The 20,155-nt window shown below is 46.0% G+C and overlaps 2 protein-coding genes and 2 non-coding genes across 18 annotated transcripts in view, besides 2 other annotated features; 2 read left to right on the top strand and 2 right to left on the bottom strand.

Annotated features, from left to right (window-relative positions):
- The window catches only part of RNF24 (ring finger protein 24), an 88,248-nt gene extending 81,266 nt beyond the window's left edge, over nucleotides 1-6,982 (top strand). For all 9 annotated transcript variants that reach the window (NM_001134337.3, NM_001134338.3, XM_011529146.3 and 6 more), the window contains one exon: nucleotides 92-6,982. In NM_001134337.3, the coding sequence (NP_001127809.1) occupies nucleotides 92-230 (139 nt within the window). In that variant the 3' untranslated portion in view covers nucleotides 231-6,982. The remainder of the gene's footprint in view (nucleotides 1-91) is intronic.
- PANK2 (pantothenate kinase 2) overlaps nucleotides 4,406-20,155 on the bottom strand; it is a 41,107-nt gene continuing 25,357 nt past the window's right edge. For all 7 annotated transcript variants that reach the window (NR_136715.2, NM_024960.6, NM_153638.4 and 4 more), the window contains 3 exons: nucleotides 17,243-17,366; nucleotides 15,497-15,622; nucleotides 4,406-11,049 (listed from right to left, as the gene is read on the bottom strand). Coding sequence is in view for 6 of the 7 variants with exons in the window: in NM_024960.6 (NP_079236.3) it covers nucleotides 10,999-11,049; nucleotides 15,497-15,622; nucleotides 17,243-17,366 (301 nt within the window). In the remaining variant the exon portion in view is untranslated. The remainder of the gene's footprint in view (nucleotides 11,050-15,496; nucleotides 15,623-17,242; nucleotides 17,367-20,155) is intronic.
- Nucleotides 4,450-4,619: an enhancer, noted in NCBI's record as "experimental_60118 CRE fragment used in MPRA reporter constructs". NCBI's record gives its function as "activates a minimal promoter by MPRAs in K562 erythroleukemia cells, with activity observed for both the introgressed and non-introgressed 20:3910406 variant alleles {active_cell/tissue: K562}" and the evidence as "EXISTENCE:reporter gene assay evidence [ECO:0000049][PMID:34662402]".
- Nucleotides 8,088-8,257: an enhancer, noted in NCBI's record as "experimental_60114 CRE fragment used in MPRA reporter constructs". NCBI's record gives its function as "activates a minimal promoter by MPRAs in K562 erythroleukemia cells, with activity observed for both the introgressed and non-introgressed 20:3906768 variant alleles {active_cell/tissue: K562}" and the evidence as "EXISTENCE:reporter gene assay evidence [ECO:0000049][PMID:34662402]".
- On the bottom strand, nucleotides 16,722-16,799 carry MIR103A2 (microRNA 103a-2). Its single transcript, NR_029519.1, has one exon. It is a non-coding gene; the product is annotated as a microRNA 103a-2 (primary transcript).
- On the top strand, nucleotides 16,730-16,791 carry MIR103B2 (microRNA 103b-2). Its single transcript, NR_031722.1, has one exon. It is a non-coding gene; the product is annotated as a microRNA 103b-2 (primary transcript).

Here is a 20,155-nt window from a genome sequence, read left to right as displayed (position 1 = left end):
GTCTGGGTGACAGATATGGAGATGTTCAGCAGAACAGCCGTGCCATGAGCATAGGACTGACATCTTCCCCCTGTGGTGTCTCCTTCTGCAGGTGCCTTATTAAGTGGCTGGAGGTTCGTAAAGTGTGTCCCCTGTGCAACATGCCAGTTCTACAGCTGGCCCAGTTGCACAGTAAGCAGGACCGTGGACCCCCTCAGGGGCCCCTTCCTGGGGCAGAGAACATTGTATAGCTTACCGCAAGGATCAGACTGTTGCTGGACACGACGTCTGTGTGGAGCCAGGAGGAACACATGTGGTGTCTGTATGGCTGCTCTCTACCTAGGACACCAGCTGCCACTTCTTTTGCCTCATGAAGAACTCTTGGGCCAGCCAAACTGGGAACCTAGGTGTCTGGGTCTTGTGACAACCAAAGCACTTTGACACTACCCCCTGCCGAGAGAAGAGGAGTGGATGAGCCTGCGGGTTTGCCTCAAGAAACTTCATGAGGGTCTCTTACTAACTCCATTACACTCTCTCTCCTGGAGCCTCATCTCCATGTCAAGCAGGAGGGTAAAGAAGGGAACTAAGAGCAGGTCTTTCAAGCCACACCCCCACCTGCGGATGGATGGGTTTCTCTGTAGGCCATGCAGGCCTTTGTCGCAGCAAACCTTCCCAGCAGCCCTTGAGCCAAGTAAAACCAGCACAACCAGCCACCAGTGGTTGGTGAGGCAGTGCCCACAAGGCTCATGTTGTATGCCTTTGATAAGGCCATCTTGGCTTTGAGTAGCAGTGTTCCTCGTCACCCATTTCCCCCTCAGGATTACAACACCTGCTATCAAATCATCTAAGCTGAAAACATGAGATGCGCTTGGAAAGGCCTAGTCAGAAGCCATTTCCTCTTATCATTTCCCTCTCCTATGCACCAGTAAGGCCCGTCCAGAGCCCCAGCAGGGAGTGGGCCCTGAGTCCACACTGTCCCTGAGTGATCCAGGAGGCTGCCCACATCCCCACATGTGCACTGTGGTTCCAGTGTAGCTGCTGTGAGCCCACTGCCACTGCCTCAGAAGGGAGCCACTGTGAACCTCTCGAGTGGCTCCAAAGAGCAGTGGCTTTTTGAGAATGGCCCATACTTCTGGCCCGGCTGGATGAAGGGAATGCCGACCCTTTGGCCTCTCCCCCTCCTTCCATCTCTTCTCTCTCTTGCCCTATCTCTCTTTCTACTTCAGAAAAAAAAAAAAAAAAAAAAAAAAGCCTGTCATTCACTTTTTAACACTTTATCCCAAATAAGATCCCTGTGTAATTCTGAAGCTGGTGATCCACTTGGAATTGTAGATAGTTTCAGGAAGCTCCTGCAGGGCTGTCCACCGTTGGTGTGTGCCTCAGTATTTGGACTTCCGAAACTGAAAGTGAAAGTGTCTTTATAGGAGAGAAACGCATGCTGCTCTTTGGCTCTTTCTGTCCAACTTTTCTAGAAATGACTCAAAGTCCATTAAGATTTGTGAATATTGTATAAATTAGCTATGGAAAGTAGCAGGTCAGATGGAAAATTCTTTTCCACAGCCCTGCTCTCCGCCTCCCTCCATCTTAGGAGCGCCTGCCTCAATTCCTCGTCAACTGCTTTGCTCCACTCCATCCCACAGGTGTGAGTGGGGGAAGTTTTTCATTAGGAATACAGTCTGCGTGACATGGAGAATGGATGGAGGGAGCTTTGCTACTCTGCTCTTGGCATGACTCCAGGATTTTTTTCTGGAATCCAACCTCTGTCCTCTTAGGAGAAGGAACCTGTCCTTGGTTCAGATGGCTGGGCATGAGGAGGAAAATTTCCATTAGTGTAGAACAGTGCTGGACAGAATCCGGTTTGGAAAATTACAAATCCAGTTGGTCAAAATAGGCCATTTCCTATGTGTGACCTATTCGTGGTATGCCAACTGGACTGCTTCCTAAACAGGACGAGGAAAGTGAGGAATATTTTTATATGAAAGCCTTAGCCTGTCTGGCACCCATGAAAAAAACTATTTATGCACTCCTACTTTCACCGTCTTTTTGCATTCTCTATTTGTAGCACAACAGAGTTGAATGCCACAAAACACCCCGTTTATAGTGAGCTGTTTTCAGTGACCAATATCAGAAGGAGGCTTGCTTCTGGACTAGCCTCACTAATTGCCAGCAGCCACCATTTTCCATGGAATGGCCTTGGGACAGATGTCACCTCTGTTATGGGGCTCTAATAGGAAAGAGAATGTTTTTTCCCTTCCTATGATCAATACTGCAAATTATTGCTGCTCACAGCTTTTATAGGATTCTCCCAACTGAAAGTTGCAGGCTTTTTCTGTCCCTGTGCATCAGTACTAACAAAAGACAGCCTCACCAAGTCTGTATATTTGAACAGAGGCAAGTTAATTCATCCCCCCGTGTCAGAGCCACAGGCATGTTGAGGGGGTTGATACGTAGCACTGGACCAGGGCGCAAAGCCCAGATAGTTCCAGCCATGAGAGGAGAGCACAAGAATGCTCTGCACTCTGCACTCAGCACCACCTTGGGTCTGCTTTGCCCAGATGAGGGACCACTAACAACCTTCTCAGCACATGTGAATGTGGACTGGTTTTAAAATGCATTCATTCTGCTAGGATTGGGCTGGAAGCTGGAACAGTGAGAGTACTTTTTCTGCTCCTAGTCATCTCCCTTTCTCAGCGTGACATCCTCCTGCAGCAAGCCTAGTATCACTAGCAGTAGTTCCTGCGACTCTTAGCAACACAACCCGAATATTTGCTCCCTGCATCTGGGTCCTCCACCAGGATGGGCCTGCGCATCTGCATTGCTGTACAGACAAACAGGCCTTTTAATTTACATCCTCCTTTAATTCTCATTAAAATCGCAGGGTTTTTGTTTGAAAGACAGTCCTTTTTTTATTTATTTTGAAAAAGGAATGAGTTAGGGACCCCTTTATAACTCTCTTGGCTCAGACTCGAACCCCATGGTAAAGTCACCCTTTCCGCATCTATCTTCAGGAGTTGCTGGGACTTGTTACTGTGTAGCTGCGTGGGGATTCTGGTCTGCTCTTGGACCACTGGCTGGTATCCTTTGTGTGTTTCTTAAGCAGCTCAAAGATAGAATGTTGCTGGTCTGCTATGGGTTAGTGGAGCATAACTCAGCCCCAACTGGACTCCACGGGTGGCTGAACCATTAGTAGTTGCTAGGGGTACAACTGAATTCAACTGCCTTCAGAAACAGGGAACAAAACCAGCCTGACTTGATTCCTGGTTGGGTCAGTATCAGACACTAGGAAGTTGACATCTGCTGCTTTTCTTTGCCACGTGTGATTTGGTTAGGCCTGTCCCTGGCAGATAAGGTCCTTGAAGCCTATGCTTGCCTAGCCAGGGAAGGCAGGACAGAAATGGCCAAATAGGGGCAGGTGGCCCCTGGGAAGGTCTGAGCTGAGGGATACAGGGGACCTCCCACCATTGCCGGATACCCTGTTCTTGACAAGAAGATCCTTTTCCCCAGTGCCAAGCCCCTTGGATCCATCAGAGAAATAGCCTCGGGCCTTGTCCTTTTTCACAACCCCACTTCAAAATCATGTCATCTCCCTGGCCTGATCCCGCTCTAAGCTACTTTGAACAACTAGGAATTATTTTTCTCAGAGGCTTTTTGGGCATTATGAAATACATCCTGATACATCCAGGGCAGTATACCCAGAGCTCCAGGCAGAGAGTGATGGAATCACCTCTTGTCACTCACTAGCCTTAGGCCCTTCTGCAGGTTAGCCTCTCAGTCTCTTCCTTAGCTTCCTTAGCTACCACCCAGGGATTGTAGTAACGTCCCTGGCACCTCTTGTGGGGGTTAGCTGGTGCCCAGAGCCTGGTAGGCAGCAGGCCTGGTGTCATGGGGGCTGCTGATACCACATAACATCATCTGGGTTACATGGGCTCCTCTGCCATCATGATTGATAGGAACAGAACCTCAGCCAAAAAGCTTCCTGAGCTGTAGGGGCTTTCCCTGAGGCCCAGGTTCACCTGGCCCCTTTCTTCCTTGGTCATCTCTGCCTTTGCCCACAGTGAACTCTGACTTGGTTGTTCAGTGCTGAATATTTCTTTCTTAATGTTTTGAATAGGTAATCCATTCATGTGGTTCACAAATCATAAAGTAGTTAAAAGCCTTTCTTGAGTTCCTGATGCCTAGCAAGCTCCGCTCCTCACTCCATGAATACCTACTATTGGTTTGTTCCTTGGGTATCCTTCCAGAGATCATTTATGCATGTACACACATGTGTATGTGTGTCTATATAATTTTTCTCCTTTTCTACTCATGTGATACCAGACAAGTGTATTCAAGGAACGCTCCTACTAATGTGGGAAGAGCCATCCCAGAAATCAGAATACAAAATGTGAACCCAGAATTGGGGGATGTTTTTGCAATCACACTCCTGTTGAGTAAGACATATTTTCATTTTATTGCAACATACTGAAATTTTAGTTTTCTGTACAAATCAGAATCTGCAGTCCCTCCCTTACCCCAAATGCCCAGCTAATCCAAGAGCACAACCAGATTTTTCTGATTGACTTTCTATCTGCGACAGGATGCTCAAGATCAGGCTCTGTAGCTGACAGCAGTGGCACAGGCCTCTCCCAGCTCTGAGCAGCCTCTGCAGGTGCCTGGACAGCTGCTGGCCCCTCCCCTACCTTGGCCAGTTCCAAGTGAGGACCAGTGGTGATGTGTGGCTGCAACTGTTGTGGTCACTTAGGCAAGCTCTTGTGTCTTTGATGCAGGAGTTTGAGCAGCAGCAACTGAAGGCTTCTATTTTGTGGGGCAGACATCTTAGCTACTGAGCAAGTGCACAGTGAGTCTCATGTGGATATGCCTGAATGTCCAGCGTCAGTTCATGGAGCTACTCCCTTTCCCTCCCAACTTTTCGTTGTTGTTGAGACAGGGTCTTGTTACCCAGACTGGAGTGCAGTGGCACCATTGTAGCTCACTGCAGCCTCAACTTCCTGGACTCAAGTGATCCTCCCGCCTCAGTCTGTAGCTGCGTCTACAGGTGCACACCAGCACACCTGGCTAATTTTCGTAATTATTTTTTTGTAGAGACAGGTCTCAACTCACTATGTTGCCCAGGCTGGCCTCCTCACTCTGTGCACACACTTTGAAAAGAAAATGCTTCTGGTCGGGCGCGATGGCTCACGCCTGTAATCCCAACATCCCAGCACTTTGGGAGGCCGAGGCAGGCGGATCACCTTAGGTCAAGAGTTCAAGACCAGCCTGACCAATATGGTGAAACCCCCTCTACTAAAAATACAAAAATTTGCCGGGTGTGGTGACGCATGCCTGTAATCCCAGCCACTCAGGAGGCTGGGACAGGAGAATTGATTGAACCCGGGAGACAGAAGTTGCAGTGAGCCAAGATCCCCACTGCACTCCAGCCTGGGCAACAGAGCGAGACTCCGTCTCAAAAAAACACACAAGAAAAGAAAATGCTTCCTACAGAATTTTCCCTTTATGCCTTGTTTTCCATTTGACAACAGAAATTACCCCAACAATTTTTTTTTTTTTTTTTTTTTTTTTTTTTTTTGAGACGGAGTCTCGCTCTGTCACCCAGGCTGGAATGCAGTGGCACGATCTTGGCCCACTGCAAGCTCCGCCTCCCAGGTTCACGCCATTCTCCCGCCTCGGGAGCTGGGACAACAGGTGCCCGCCACCACGCTCGGCTAATTTTTTGTATTTTTAGTACAGACGGAGTTTCACCGTGTTAGCCAGGATGGTCTCGATCTCCTGACCTCGTGATGCACCTGCCTTGACCTCCCAAAGTGCTGGGATTACAGGCGTGAGCCACTGCGCCCGGCCAATAATTTTTTTAGTTTAAGTTCATTTTTGTCCCCGCTGATGAAAGTTAGAGCTGCTTCCTCCAGGCAGCCCTGGGAGTAGGGGCACAGACTTGTGCCTCGCTTCCCAGCAGCTGCCCAGTGCCTCTGTCCACACCCACCTCCCTGGTGTACTTGCCCCCTACAGCAGCAGCCCAGATCCTCCCCTGGATTAAAATTGCAACTGGTGCCCTAACCCAAAACTTGAGAAAAAATTCTCTATCACATCCACTCTTCTGGCATTTGTAGAATCTCTGGCCCTGGGTGTGTCTTTTCCTGTAGCTGTTACAGATTTCTTAAGCAGATTTCTTAAGCAGATGGACATGTCCAGATTCATGCCTAAATATCCAGTTGATAACTGGAAAATGCTGGTTCACGGTTCTTTAGTAAAGATTAATAAGGGATCCCCATGTGCTGGGGAGTGTGCTTCCATTTGAGTGGGGATATCAGAAGAAAAAGAGGGGCTTGTGTAGTAAACCTTACTTTGCCAATTCAGCTGTAGAGCCCAAATTGTTACAAGATGCAAAGATGTACTCCACTTTTTGACCAAGCATCAGCACCTTTGGCTTACCATCCAGTCCTTACTTCTGTGACTGTAAGGGCCCCACCAGTGTCAGCAGACTTGTTTGTGCTTTGGGGGAACTCTCTTCTCAGCTCCCTTTGCCAGTCCCAAGCCTGGTGGATCTGCATCTCACGCCCACTGCACACCGTTCCTCTCCATCTGCCCTTCCCTCCCAGGCCCCCGGTCGGGGGAGCAGGTGTGGCAAGTGTTAGGAACTCCCTTCTGGTGACAGCTGGTCTTCCTAGAGTGTTGCTGGTAACTATCGCCTCTTGGTCTTCTGACATCATTGCCAGGAACGGGGCACTTTTTCGTCTTGTAGTTTGGCCCTCGGGTTTCCTCACTAGGTATTGTGTAACTCCCTCAAAAAAAGGTTTATGAAATGCTGAACCTCAGGTTTCATAGACGTCTTTGTACACTAAAAATTCTGCAGCAGAATATTTTTAAACATTCGCAGTTTTTTGTAAGCTATATTTTTGTATATTTAATTGCTATTTTAAAATTTTAATGCATTTTGCTAATCACTCCTCAAAAATAAAACATGCATGTAATTGACTCAAACGTGTAAATAAAAGCAAATTTTGAAAAATAGTGTTGTGCATATGCCTTTGAACAGAGGGAACATCCATGTGCCACTTACGCAAGCACCTTCAGCAAGACTTGGAAACTCAAGGTGAGTAATTCTATCAGAGCTGGTAACTAGTACTGAGTGATTGTGATGGAAGCCCCTGCCCTTCCTGTGGCATAGTGTGCAAGCGGGGGTGGGGTCAGTGGTGAAGAGTGTGTCAGGCCACCACAGCCAGAGAACAGAGAATCCTGGAATGCAGAGTACAGTGGAGTCTGAAGCCCCCTGGCCTCCCTGAGCTCTGCAAACAGCTGGATACAGATAAGCAGTCTTCCACGTGAACGCCAGCACCAGGGTGACCTGAAATAGCGGATTTTTTTTTTTTTTTTTTTTTGAGACAGTCTTGCTGTCACCCAGGCTGGAGTGCAGTGCAGCAATCTCGGCTCACTGCAGCAACCTCTGCCTCCCAGGTTCAAGCAACTGTCTGCCTCAGCCTCTCGAGTACCTGGGATTACAGGCACGCACCACCATTCCCGGCTAATTATTTTTGTATTTTCAGTAGAGACGGGGTTTCACCATGTTGTCCAGGCTGGTCTTGAACTCCTGACCTCAGGTGATCCACCCGCCTTGGCCTTCCAAAGTGCTGGGATTACAGGCATGAGCCATTGCACCTGGCCAAAGTAGTGGAACTGAGCCTGTTTCCTCCACAGGCCACACCACCCTGCAAAGAGTTGCCCCCACCCCAAGCCCCTAGCTATATCCCAGGCCTGGAAATAACTAGTGTCAGGAGAAAAAACGTCCAAAGCCTTCCTGTGTGGCCGTTGCTGCTCTCCTCACCACCCCTCACTAGGACCGAGTGGCTTCCCAGCTTCCATCAAGGCCAGCCACGATCTTGCAACCAATTGTGGGCAACCTCAATTCAGATGCCTAGAGAGCTCCTCTTCTCAGTCCCCTGAGCCACAGGCCCCTGGCCAGCCTCTCCCTGAGCAGTCGTTTTCTTTGCAGCTTCCTCCGTCACTGCTCAACTCTCGGTTATTTTTCTCACCCTACCTTAGAACTCATGAAATCCCCCTTGCTTTGCCCACCTACATGCATATCATTCTCAGCTCTGTATCTCCAACCCAAATACCCAGTGCTTATTTGGAGTCTCAAAATCACGTAGTCCACAAATGAGCCCAGGTGCCCTCTTGTATCTCTCCTCCCTCCCCTGTATCCAGTCACCACTTCCCAACACAGCCCTCTAAGCATCTCTCCATTCTGGCCATCCACTTCTCCCCTCTCCATTCTGGCCACCCACCTCCCATCTTAGTTCAGGCCTTCCTTTCTCACCTGGACCACGGTCACAGCCCCCTTCATGGCCACTAGTGGAGGGCAGACTGAAAGGGACAGCTGCTAAGACAGGGAAGTGGCAATGGTAACAGCAGAGTTTATGGGCACCTCACAACCTGAAGGTGGTGAGACGGCAGTAAGCTGGGATGAGGATGTGGGCACTGCTGCACAGAGATCAACAAATGCAGAGAGAAGGCAGTGTCTCGGGGCTGGAGCTCAGAGGTAAGGGGTGGTTGAAGTGTTCCCTGGAAATCAGTCAAGGTGATGCTAATGACTGCTTGGGGAGACCCAGGACTGAGGCTGAGGACAGCCACAGCTAACTGTCAGCAGAGAATGAACCAGAACATTAGTAGCCTGGGTGGCAGGACAGGCAAGAGGGCTCTGCTGAGTGAGAACTGAGATGAGGCTGTGAAATGAATGCCAGATTCGGTGGCATGGGATTCACTGGTGGCCTATCAAGAACCCTGCTGTGAGCCGGGCGCAGGGGCTCACACCTGTATTCCCAGCACTTTGGGAGGCCAAGGCAGGCGGATCACCTGGGGTCTGGAGTTCGAGACCAGCCTGGCCATCATGGTGAAACCCCATCTCTACTAAAAATATAAAAATTAGCCAGCCATGGTGGCACATGCCTGTAGTCTCAGCTACGCAGGAGGCTAAGGCAGGAGAATTGCTTGAGCCTGGAAGGCAGAGGTTGCAGTGAGCTGAGATCGCCCCACTGCACTCCACCTGGGTGACACAGCGAGACTGTCTCAAAAACCCTGCTGTGGAGTGACAGGGTTTACTGAGCACAAGGTGGAACATGAGGGAATGGACTAGTTTCTCTAGAGTAGGGGGAGGGCCCACGGAGGAGGAAGCTCAAAGCGAGGCAGAAGGGGACATCAACAGCGTCTTCCCAACTCAGGCACCAGAGACAGACAGTCCCGGGTTTGAGTCCAGCTCTACTCTTTTCCAGCTGAGTGACCCTGGGCAGCCTTACTCATCCGTTCAGTTTCCTTTTCTGTTAAATTGTGGGAACAGCAAGGGCTGCATGGTGACCCACGTCGAGCAGTGGACAACCTCCTGAACGCAGCACAGCAGAGGCAGCAGGACCACAAAACAGGGGCCTCAGAGGGGCAGGCCCTGGCCTCGGTCTCCATGGGAAGTGAGCAAGTTCACAGGAGTTGGCCCAGGGAGCAGCACCCTGTGGTACAAGCAGGAGGATGGTGGTGCCATCTTTGGTGCCTGGGTACTGGAGGAGGGTGAGGCCACCAACAGCGCTGCTGGCAGCAGAGGAGGGCAGAGGAACTCAGGATCAGGGCGTCAGAGGTAGTATAGGCCAGGAGCCTGCAAACAGCAGCAGCAGGGAAGAGGGTCACCAATCACTCTCCAGGGGACAAAATTACCCTCCACGCAGCAGCCATCCTGCTCTGCACCCACACAAGGTCCCAATGCAGCAGCACCCATATTTCCTAAGTGCCAAGGCCCATGTGCAGAGGTGGCCACGCCTAGTGGAACAGCCCACAGCCCACATATCAGTTCCCCTTGCCCCAGCTGGAACACGGGTGTCTCTGCTGCCTCCATGCGGCTGGCACCCTGCCCATCCCTCCCTGACCACAGCCTTAAACGGAGGGGAGCAGGGAGGCTGCAGAGCCTTGGGGTTTTCCCTCCTGGTCCAAGGCTGCTTTGTACAGGCCCATCCTTGCCTTCAACAGCAATATGGGCACCACTTAAGACCTCAGATATAAAAGGTGCATTCTCTCCTTGGGAAAGGCTTTTGAAATTATTCTGCAAAGCAGAAAGAAAAGCTTCAGCCCCTACCAAGAGCACCTGCAGCCTGGCACTCTCCTCAGGCAGTCTTCTGAGACTCACCTCCCAAGTGCCACAGTGCCCTGAAGGACCCCCCACTCCCCATGAGTTCTTTGACAGACACTTCAGTTCTTCCTTTTCTACTTAGCCTGAAAGAAAAACCAGATTCTCCCTGATCCCCTGAGGGGGTGTCAATTCTAGTGGCCCTGCTGACTCATGTTAGTCCTCCAGATTGTGCTGCTTCTGCCAGTGTACCCACTTGCATCAGAACAGTCCGCCCACTACCCAAGGAAATTCTGCCAAGAAAAGAAGCCCTGTCTCTCCAGACATTCATTCCCAGGATTTAGTGTAAAGTAACGTGGAACTGCCCTTCCAAAAACTGCTTGTTAAGTTTCAGGTACACAATTAACCTGCCCAATTAATTTTGCAGAACCTTGAAATAAAACATGTTTTACAGTAAGTTCACACACAGGCTTAATGCAAACCAGAGTAATGCACAGATGATTGCCAAGACCATATTGACAAATTGTGATTAGATTATAACGCATAGTAGCCTGCCTTACATTCAGCAAGTTCAAACAGGACACAAAACCAGTCAACTGAACACAGAGCAGCTCTCTTCAGAAGCACTTCCAATGAGTGATGCAGAGATTTCAAAAATACAAAGCAGGCAACTTATATACAGCAAATCCTCACACTGCCTGGACATGTGCCACTTTTTTGTTGTTTTTAATATATTTTTCCTTCCTGGTTGCTAATTTAGACTGAATTCTTAAGGATTTATCTTGATGACTTAGAAAAATACACCTGTCCTTTCTCACTTTGTTTCAGGTAGTACAGTCATGAAATTGAGTAAGTCTCTTAAAAAAATGAAAGTCCACAGATCCCATTGTGGAAGGTTTCAGGAACCCCTCCCCAGGTAATGATCACGGGATCTTCAACAGCTCAAGGAGTGCTCCAACAGCTCCAAAATAACCCTGAAAGAAAATACACCAAAAATAAGTGCAATTTTCCTTAGACTTATTCAAATCACCTTACACATGATGACTAGTGTTAAAGCCAACCACTGCCCACACACAGCATACCCATTTCCTGAGCACCCCAGAAGGGCCAAGGCCAGCCTGGGAGCAGAGACGCCCTAAGGAGTCCCTGTCTGGGGAGGGGGCTGGATGTCCTAGACTATCCAAGCACTTCAGACCACTGTGATAAGAGGAAAACCAAACCCGCAGTGAGGGCGACAGGAGCTATGAGGCCAGCAGCAGCTCAGTTACCTCTGGTAAGAGACAGAACCTGACTGTTTCTGGGGAATGAGGTGAGAAGCAGCAGAGGCCTGGAGCATTTCCAGACAACTAAGGAATGAAGGCGAGGTCGGATGCAAAGTGCAATGAAACAGGTGAAGTTGTGAGGTGGGTCACAGAGGGTGAGAGCCCGACTGAGCTGGGAGAGGGAGGGAGAGTAAGAGATAAGATGGATTCAAGATTCACCCCTAACAGAGGACAGGACAGCAGGAGGGGGCAGCATCCCCGAGAAAGGGGACACAGGAGTAAGAGGTGTGGAGAGCAAGGCCGGTGGGTGAGTTCCCTACAGGACATGGGAAGCTGAGGTGCCCACAGCAGCCAAGCAGCTGTGCCCGGGTGGTCACCAGACACCTGGATCACTGGCCCAGAAGCAGGCGGCACAGGAATGAAAACCACCACCCAAAGGTAACGTGAAGAGAGGTACAGAACAAAGAGCAAAGCCTGAGGAAGCACGGAGGCTCCCGAGGGAGGGCAGCCCTCAGCCCTCCTGAGACACAGAAGCAGCAGCTGAGAGACGACAAGCACTGTACTGTCTCCAGAAGCAGTCAGGTCACATGCAACCAAGAACTCAAAACCAAAACACAGGAATAGCACATTAGAGAAAACGGGGCAAACCCCATAATGACAGAAAAGAGAACACTAGCAAGAATCAGAGGCAAATCCTAAAACGATGCAGAATCCATCAGGGTCTCCAACCTGTAAGGTAAGATATCAGACTACTTTTTAAAAGAAATAACTAAAAAAGGAATGAGAAGATCCTGAAAGACTTGTGTATGGATTTTTTAAAAGTCTCTGAAACATAAATAACTACCACTCTATCTTTCACGAAAAGCTTCTTCAAGAAACCTGATCAAACGAGAGGCCAAAGGCTTTCTTGTCACACTCTAGTTGGCAATTTAAAAGAAAGGCATATTGGCTGGGCGCAGTGGCTCACAGGTAACCCAGCACTTCGGGAGGCCAAGGCAGGTGGATCACTTGAGGTCTGGAGCTCAAGACCAGCCTGGCCAATATGGCAAACCCCGTGTCTCTACTAAAAATACAAAAATTAGCCAGGTGCGGTGGCACGTGCCTGTAGTCCCATCTACTCAGGAGGCTTAGACAAGAGAATCACTTGAACCCAGGAGGCAGAAGTTAAAGTGAGCCGAGACTGCGCCACTGCACTCCAGCCTGGCTGACAGAGTAAGACCCCATCTCAAAAAACAAAAAAAAGAAAGGCATATTGACCATCTTTGGTTTTGGTGTGTATAAATAAAATAAAGGCAGCCACACCAATCTGTGATGTGAGGCGGCCAGCAGCTACAGGACAAGGCACAGCTGAAATACAGAGGCAAGGCTGTTTGTCTTAATAGTTCACTATACAGTTTGTTTTAGGCAGCTTTCTGTACCTTTTATTTTATAATAAAAATATAGAAGATACAGTTAACCATTATATATATATATGGGGGGGGTCCACTGAAGACTAGGATGCTACTATCAAGACAGAAACAGGTGGTTATAAACTACAACGTGCTAAGATGAGAATAAAGGATCAAAGAGGAAACGCTTGAGAGAATCTATACGAAGCTTTCACAACAAAAGTTAAAGTGACTTCAATGTGAGGGCAAGAAAATATTTCAAGGCTCAGAGAGGCTAAAATAATCAAAGTTCTGAACTGAACAATGAGAACACTTGGACACAGGAAGGGGAACATCCCACACCAGGGCCTGCCATGGGGTGGGGGGAGGGGGGAGGGATAGCATTAGGAGATATACTTAATGTAAATGACGAGTTAATGGGTGCAGCACACCAACATGGCACATGTATACGTATGTAACAAACCTGCGCGTTGTGCACATGTATCCTAGAACTTAAATAAAAAAATAAAATAAAATAATCATCAAAGTTCCACAAGGGCAGAGATGCACACAAGAGTCAAAGGCCTGAATGCAAATGGAAAACACAGGGACAAATGGACCAGCAAAGCTAAGCAGTGGGAAAAACAAAGTCAGCGAGCAATAAGGACAAAATGCAACCAAGAATTTCACGAAGGCTTATAACTATTATGATGATATCGGTTTGGTGTTTTGTTTTTTGTTTTGAGATGGAGTTTCGCTCTTGTTGCCCAGGCTGGAGTGCAGTGGTGCGATCTCGGCTCACCGCAACCTCTGCCTCCCGGGTTCAAGAGATTTTCCCACCTCAGCCTCCCAAGTAGCTGGGATTACAGGTATGTGCCACCACGTCCAGCTAATTTTTGTATTTTTTGTAGAGACAGGGCTTCTCCATGTTGGTCAGGCTGGTCTTGAACTCCTGACCTCATGATCCGCCCACCTCGGCCTCCCAAAGTGCTGGGATTACAGGCGTGAGCCGCTGCACCTGGCCTGTTTGGTGTTTTTGTTTGTTTTGTTGTTGTTGTTTGTTTTTGTTTTTGAGACAGAGTCTCGTTCTGTTGCCCAGGCTGTAGTACAGTGGTGCGATCTCAGCTCACTGCAACCTCCGCCTCCCAGATTCAAGAGATTCTCCTGTCTCAGCCTCCCGAGTAGCTGGGGATTATAGGCGCCCGCCATTGCGCCCAGCTAATTTTTGTATTTTTAGTAGAGACAGGGTTTTGCCACATTGACCATGGTTGGCCAGGCTGGTCTCCTGACCTTAGGTGATCTGCCCATCTCAGCCTCCCAAAGTGCTGGGATTACAGACGTGAGCCACCGCACCCAGCCTATTTTTTTTTTAAGGTTAACTTAAAAAACTAATCTCCATGTTCTACCTAGGAAAAGGTTAAACAAGAGGCAGAAATAAAGCAGAAAAAGATCTAACATTCGAGTTTAAAAAATTCTAATATAAAGCAAAATAAAATAAGTCAGATCACAAAAAAAGATGTATACAGAAACATGAACTGTAAGAAACTTAATGGCAATTCGGTGCTGGTTTACAAATACAGTAATGTTAGAATTTTAAAACTAAGTTAGATGACTTCAATTTTAAGCTTTTTGATATGGGGATTTGTGTACTTTGGACTTCAACTATGAACTAAAGCAATTTAAAAAGAAAAACTTAAAGTAACTTTAAAGGAAAAAGTAATCTCTAGCACTTCAAATCTGTGCTATTATCTGGACTTTGATTTCCTTTAATTCATATAGACTGTTAAACTAAATATGCAATACAATTCTGAAAAATGTTCATAATAACAGTATCTAAAATCCAAGAACAGTTGAAAGAATAGTTCAACTGCCCCACAACCAAGAAGGGAAGAAAGAACCCCTACACGCCTTTCCATACCTCTGCTTCTTTTTCCCCAAATAGGAAAAATAAGAGTGCTTTCCAAGACAGGCTATGAGGTTGAGCAATTTGATTCTTTTCCATTTCATCATTTCCAGCCTGTCTACAATTGTACTTAAGTTCTTATGATAGTATGGTTCTAGTCTGAGAGGTTTACTCATCTATTCATTTTTACAACATGCATCTTAAATAACTGGCACAAGAATTACAACAATATATAAAAACTGGCACTGAAAAAAATGAAAAAACCAGAACCCAGAGTAATGACACAGTCAGTGCAATAGAAAAAATATAGAGGATAGTTCAGACAAAAATATGGCATCAGAAATATAGGGGAATGTTCAAGGGTTTTTCTCTAAAATTCCTTAAGCTTACAATTAAATTAACCCAAAATTTACCTTGCATTAGTATCAGGGAAGAAACAGCTTTCAAATGTTACGAAATTAAACTACCAAAAAAGTTCAGGCACAGTGGTTCACACCTGTAATCCTGGAACTTTGGGAGGCTGAGGCTGGCAGATCACTTAAGGTCAGGAGTTTGAGACCAGACCAGCTTGGCCAACATGGTGAAACCCCATTTCTACTGAAAGTACAAAAATTAGCAGGGTGTGGGGGCGCACACTTGTAATCCCAGCTACTTAAGAGACTGAGGTGGGAGGACTGCTTGAACCCAGGAGGCGGAGGCTGCAGTGAGCCCCAAGACTGTGCCACGCACTCCAACCTAGGTGACAGAGCGAGACTCCGTCTCAAAAAAACAAAAAACAAAAGAAACACTGCAGCCCATTTCACCTCCACCCTCTACCTCAAGTTCCATGACAGTGTGACCCACAAGCCCTCTGTGTACATAATATACCACAACGAACAAGTCAGCTTACCTCGTGTTCCGAAAAAAGTGCTTTCAACTGCCCCTTGGACCAATAATCCAAAGCATATGCCAAAAGCCGCATGGCGATCGTATTAATTCTCAAGAAATTTCCAACAAATACCACCTGGTTAATGTTCTGAGCACACCAAAAAAAGGCAATTAGTTTTCATCTTAATTTCTATTTTCTCATAAAAGCTACCCCAAATACAGCACCATGTGCATAGCTCTTAGCAACAATTTGACTGCTGATCAAATTTAGTCCAGTTGGTCCAGGGCTACTTAAACTTGATCCCCAGACAACTCTGGACCCACTGCAAAGCATGCTAGATAATGTCACAGGAGAAGAAAACAGATTAGGAAAAACATTTGTATTAAATCTGACCAACAATAACTAGTTTTGAATACAATGTTTTATACAGATAAGTTAAAATAAACAAAAAAAAACAGTATGACTCCAATCCAAAAGGACAGTGACACAAACAGGCAAAGTATACAAGCAATATAACAGGCAGCGAAAAATTCAAACCACTAGTCATCAAACAAAAGTAAAATTTTAGACCTATTAACCTCGCAAAAAAAAGCAACTGAAATTCCACCACCACCATCAGTAGTTGTAGTAAAATTAATCCACTCATTCACCGCTAAAGATGATCTAAATTGGTGCAGCCCTTGTGCAAAGCATCATGACGATAAATGTCAAAATTCATGAGCATGATCATTTCTGTAGACCAGAAATCTCACTCCTAAGCCCCATATCAAGAATAAAATTCAACCAAAGAATAACTTCATGCTTAAAAATGCTTACTGCCGAGTTATGAGCAAGCAACCAAATGCCAAGCTCTGTTATTTGATATAAAAGAACTTGATCAAATAAATATACAACCATGAAATGTATATTTAAGTATAAAATACAAATTGTGGTATGCACACCAACTAAAATTTCTGAAAATACGTAAGCACAGGAAAGGGAACATACAATAAAGAAAAAAGAAGTTATGATATTCCAACAAATGTTTAATTACTTGATGCTGATACAGTATTTTTTTAATTTAAAATGAGACAAATCCTTTGTGTCTTTTGAGGTTTCCTTTTAAGCTACATGCCTATTATTATCTAAAGAATAACTTCTTAAAAATAAAAATAAAAGAATAATTTAACAACTATACACACAGGGACAAGCCATAAGCTGCACCAACTGGATCCTAGATCCTCTTTTCCCAAGGGCAGCCCATTCTTGGTTCTTTCATAGCCCTGTACAATGCTGCTTGACCTGAATGCTACAAGGCAGCACTGTAAAGAAGCTGAAAGCACAAAGACGCAGCTCTGCTGAGGTGGGGGAGCCAAGGAGGGCACCCCTCGGCCTGCTCAGTCTTCTCCCAGCTTCCGTGACTTCCTCTGGATTCCTCCCTAGGGCCTCTAGAGCTCAGCAGTGAGTGTGGAGTCTACATTCAGCATCGTTATCCATCATCACCCCCAACAGTCCCCAATATCTGGAACACTGGCTACCTTCCACTCTTCCTCTACTTTCTCCTCAAAAGATGTCATTTTACCTCTAGACAAGTAGCAATGTTTATCTTCAGTTTAAAAAAAAAAAAAAGAAGATTAATCTGTATTTGAAGAGTTTTAACTTCGTGCTAAAACAAACCCCACCCCAAATGACTACATTTAGGCACTGTTCTGAGAAAACAGACGTGATGGGGCCCACTTAAGTTCAGTATTTTCCTTAGAGCAATTAAAGAAATCCATGTCCCCTTACTTCATTAAGGGCACACATTCTTGCTATTGAGCCAATGTTGTTGGTGATGGTGATCAAAGTCGCTCTGGCCAGGTCCTCTTTACTGACAGCCTCTCGCTTCTCCTTGCTCATCATGTTTCCAAAGCTGTGATGGGGGAAAAAAAATCCCATTGCTAAACCAACAGCAACAAAGCCCAACAGAACTTGAATGTTACTTTATTGAAATAAAATTAGCTTTTAGGGCAACATTGTTGAAATCTTCAAACCTTTTATTTTGCAATGGAGCATCTGTTCAAAGAGAAATGCAAACTTCAAACAGAGCCCTCCAACATTCTAAATGAGCAGACAGCTTTCCCTGCGGTTTCTACTGAAATCTAGCTTGGATACCAGATATTCACATATTCAGTTAGAATCTCATCAGATGCACTGGAAGGCACCATTGCTCCTGCAACCAGACAGTTCCAGGACAACACCTCTAACAGCAATTCATCTCAACTGCACAGCTGTTCCACTCAGATGGCCACATGCACATCTGGTAAACTGCTCTATCAGAGCAGAGTAAAGCACAGACAGCTGAGTCCCAGAGTGAGCTGCTTAAGAATTTCAGGTTTCCCTAGAAGATAAAGTACTTCAAAGTACATGCTCAGCAGAACTGCTACAATAATTTTCCAATCAGAAAAGGAAGTGATGACCAACGAGCAAATGTTACAAACAGAAAATCAACAGCATTGACCAAGTGCCTAAAACTTAGTAAACAAGCATGTATACATATGATTTTTCTATTAGTAAAAGCCATGTGCCCCAATATACGAAAAACAATTGTACTTCTAAACGATCTCAAAATGGAGACAATGATTTCATTTATAATAGCATTAGAGAATAAAACACTTACGGATATATCTAACAAAAGTATTAACACCTGTACAATAAAATCTACAAAACACTGCTGAAAGAAAGCAAAGATCTAAATCAATGGGAAGACATTCCATCTTTTTGGATCAGAAGACTTTGTATTAGGATGGCCAAAAGATTCAATGTAATCTCTATTAAAATCCCAGTTGTCTTATTTACAGACCTTGCCAAGTTAACCCTACAATTCATATTCTCAAGGTACCCAGAATAGCCAAAATAATCTCGAAAAAAGAACAAGTTGGATGACTCACACTTTCTTACTTCAGAACTTAATACAACGCTACAGTATCAAGGCAGTATGGTACTGGTATAAAAACAGACATATATATCAATGGAACATAACTTAAGAGTCCAGGAGTAAACCCAAACATCTATGGTCAACTAATTTTTGACAAAGGGGCCAAGAGAATTTAACAGGGAAAGAATCATCTTTTCAACAAATGGTACTAGGACAACTGGATATCCACACGCAAAAAGAAATGAACTTGGAGCTCTACCTCACACCATACACAAAAACTTACTCAAAATGGATCAAATATAAGAGCTAAATATAAGAGCTAAAACTGGCGGGCGTGGTGGCTCACGCCTGTAATCCCAGCACTTTGGGAGGCCAAGGTGGGCGGATCACGAGGTCAAGAGATCGAGACCATCCTGGACAATATGGTGAAACCCTGTCTCTACTAAAAATACAAAAATTAGCTGGGTGTGGCGGCACGCACTGTAGTCCCAGCTACTCAGGAGGCTGAGGCAGGAGAATCGCTTGAACCCGGGAGGTGGAGGTTGCAGTGAGCCGAGATCGCACCACTGCACTCCAGCCTGGTGACAGAGCAAGACTCCATCTCAAAAAAGAAAAAAAGAAAAAAATACACACACACACATATATATATATGAGCTAAAACTATAAAACTCTTAAAAGAAAATAAACAATTCTTCATGATCTTAAATTAGGCAATTCTTCATGATCTTAGATTTCTTACACATAACACCAAAAGCACAAGTGACAGAAGATAGATAAGATTAACTTCATCAAAATTTAAAATTTCCATGCTGCAAAGGACACCATCAAGGAAGTGAAAAGACAACTAACAAAATGGGACAAAACATTTGCGAATTATGTATCTAATAAGGGACTTGTATCCAGAACTCAATAATAAAAAGACAATCCAACTAAAAACTTAGCAATAGACTTCAGCAGACATTTATCCAAAGACTACAGACAGATGGCCAGTAAACACATGAAAAGATGTTCGGGCTGGGCACAGTGGCTCACACCTGTAATCCCAGCACTTTGGGAGGCCAAGGTGGGTGGATCACTTGAGGTCAGGAGCTCGAGACCAGCCTGGCCAACATGGCCAAACCCCATCTCTACTAAAATTACAGAAATTAGCCAGGCATGTTGGCATAATTTACAGGTGTGCCTGTAATCCCAGCTACTTGCGAGGTGAAGCAGAAGAATCACTAAAACCCAGGAGGTAGAGGTTTCAGTGAGATAAGATGGTGTCACTGCACTCCAGCCTGGGCAACAGAGAGAGACCCTGCCACACACACAAAAAAAATGTTCAGCCAGGAGTGATGGCTCACACCTGTAATCCCAACATGTTGGGAAGCCAAGGTGGGAGGATCACTTGAGGCCAGGACAGCCTAGGCAACATAGCAAGACCCTATCTCTACAAAAAAAAAATTAGGCAAGGCAGTGCACAGCTGTAGTCCTAGTGACTCAGGAGACTGAGGCAGGAGAAACACCTGAGCCCAGGAGACACAGGCTGCAGCCAGTTATGATCGCAACACTGCACTCTCATGTGGGCAACAGGGCGAGACCCTGCCTCTTAAAAAATAAAAACGCTACAAGATATCACTTCACTCCTATTAAGACAACTAAAACCAAGAAGACAGATAATAACAAATGTTGACAAGAAATATAAACGCTCATAAACTGCTAAGATTGTAAAATGGGACTGCCACTTTGGAAAACAGTGTAGCAGTTCCTCAAAAGATTAAACATTAAGTGACCATATGACTCAG

The sequence above is a fragment of the Homo sapiens genome, chromosome 20 (assembly GCF_000001405.40).
Source record: "Homo sapiens chromosome 20, GRCh38.p14 Primary Assembly".
NCBI lineage: Eukaryota > Metazoa > Chordata > Mammalia > Primates > Hominidae > Homo > Homo sapiens.
This window is presented reverse-complemented; position numbering and strand designations above follow the sequence as displayed.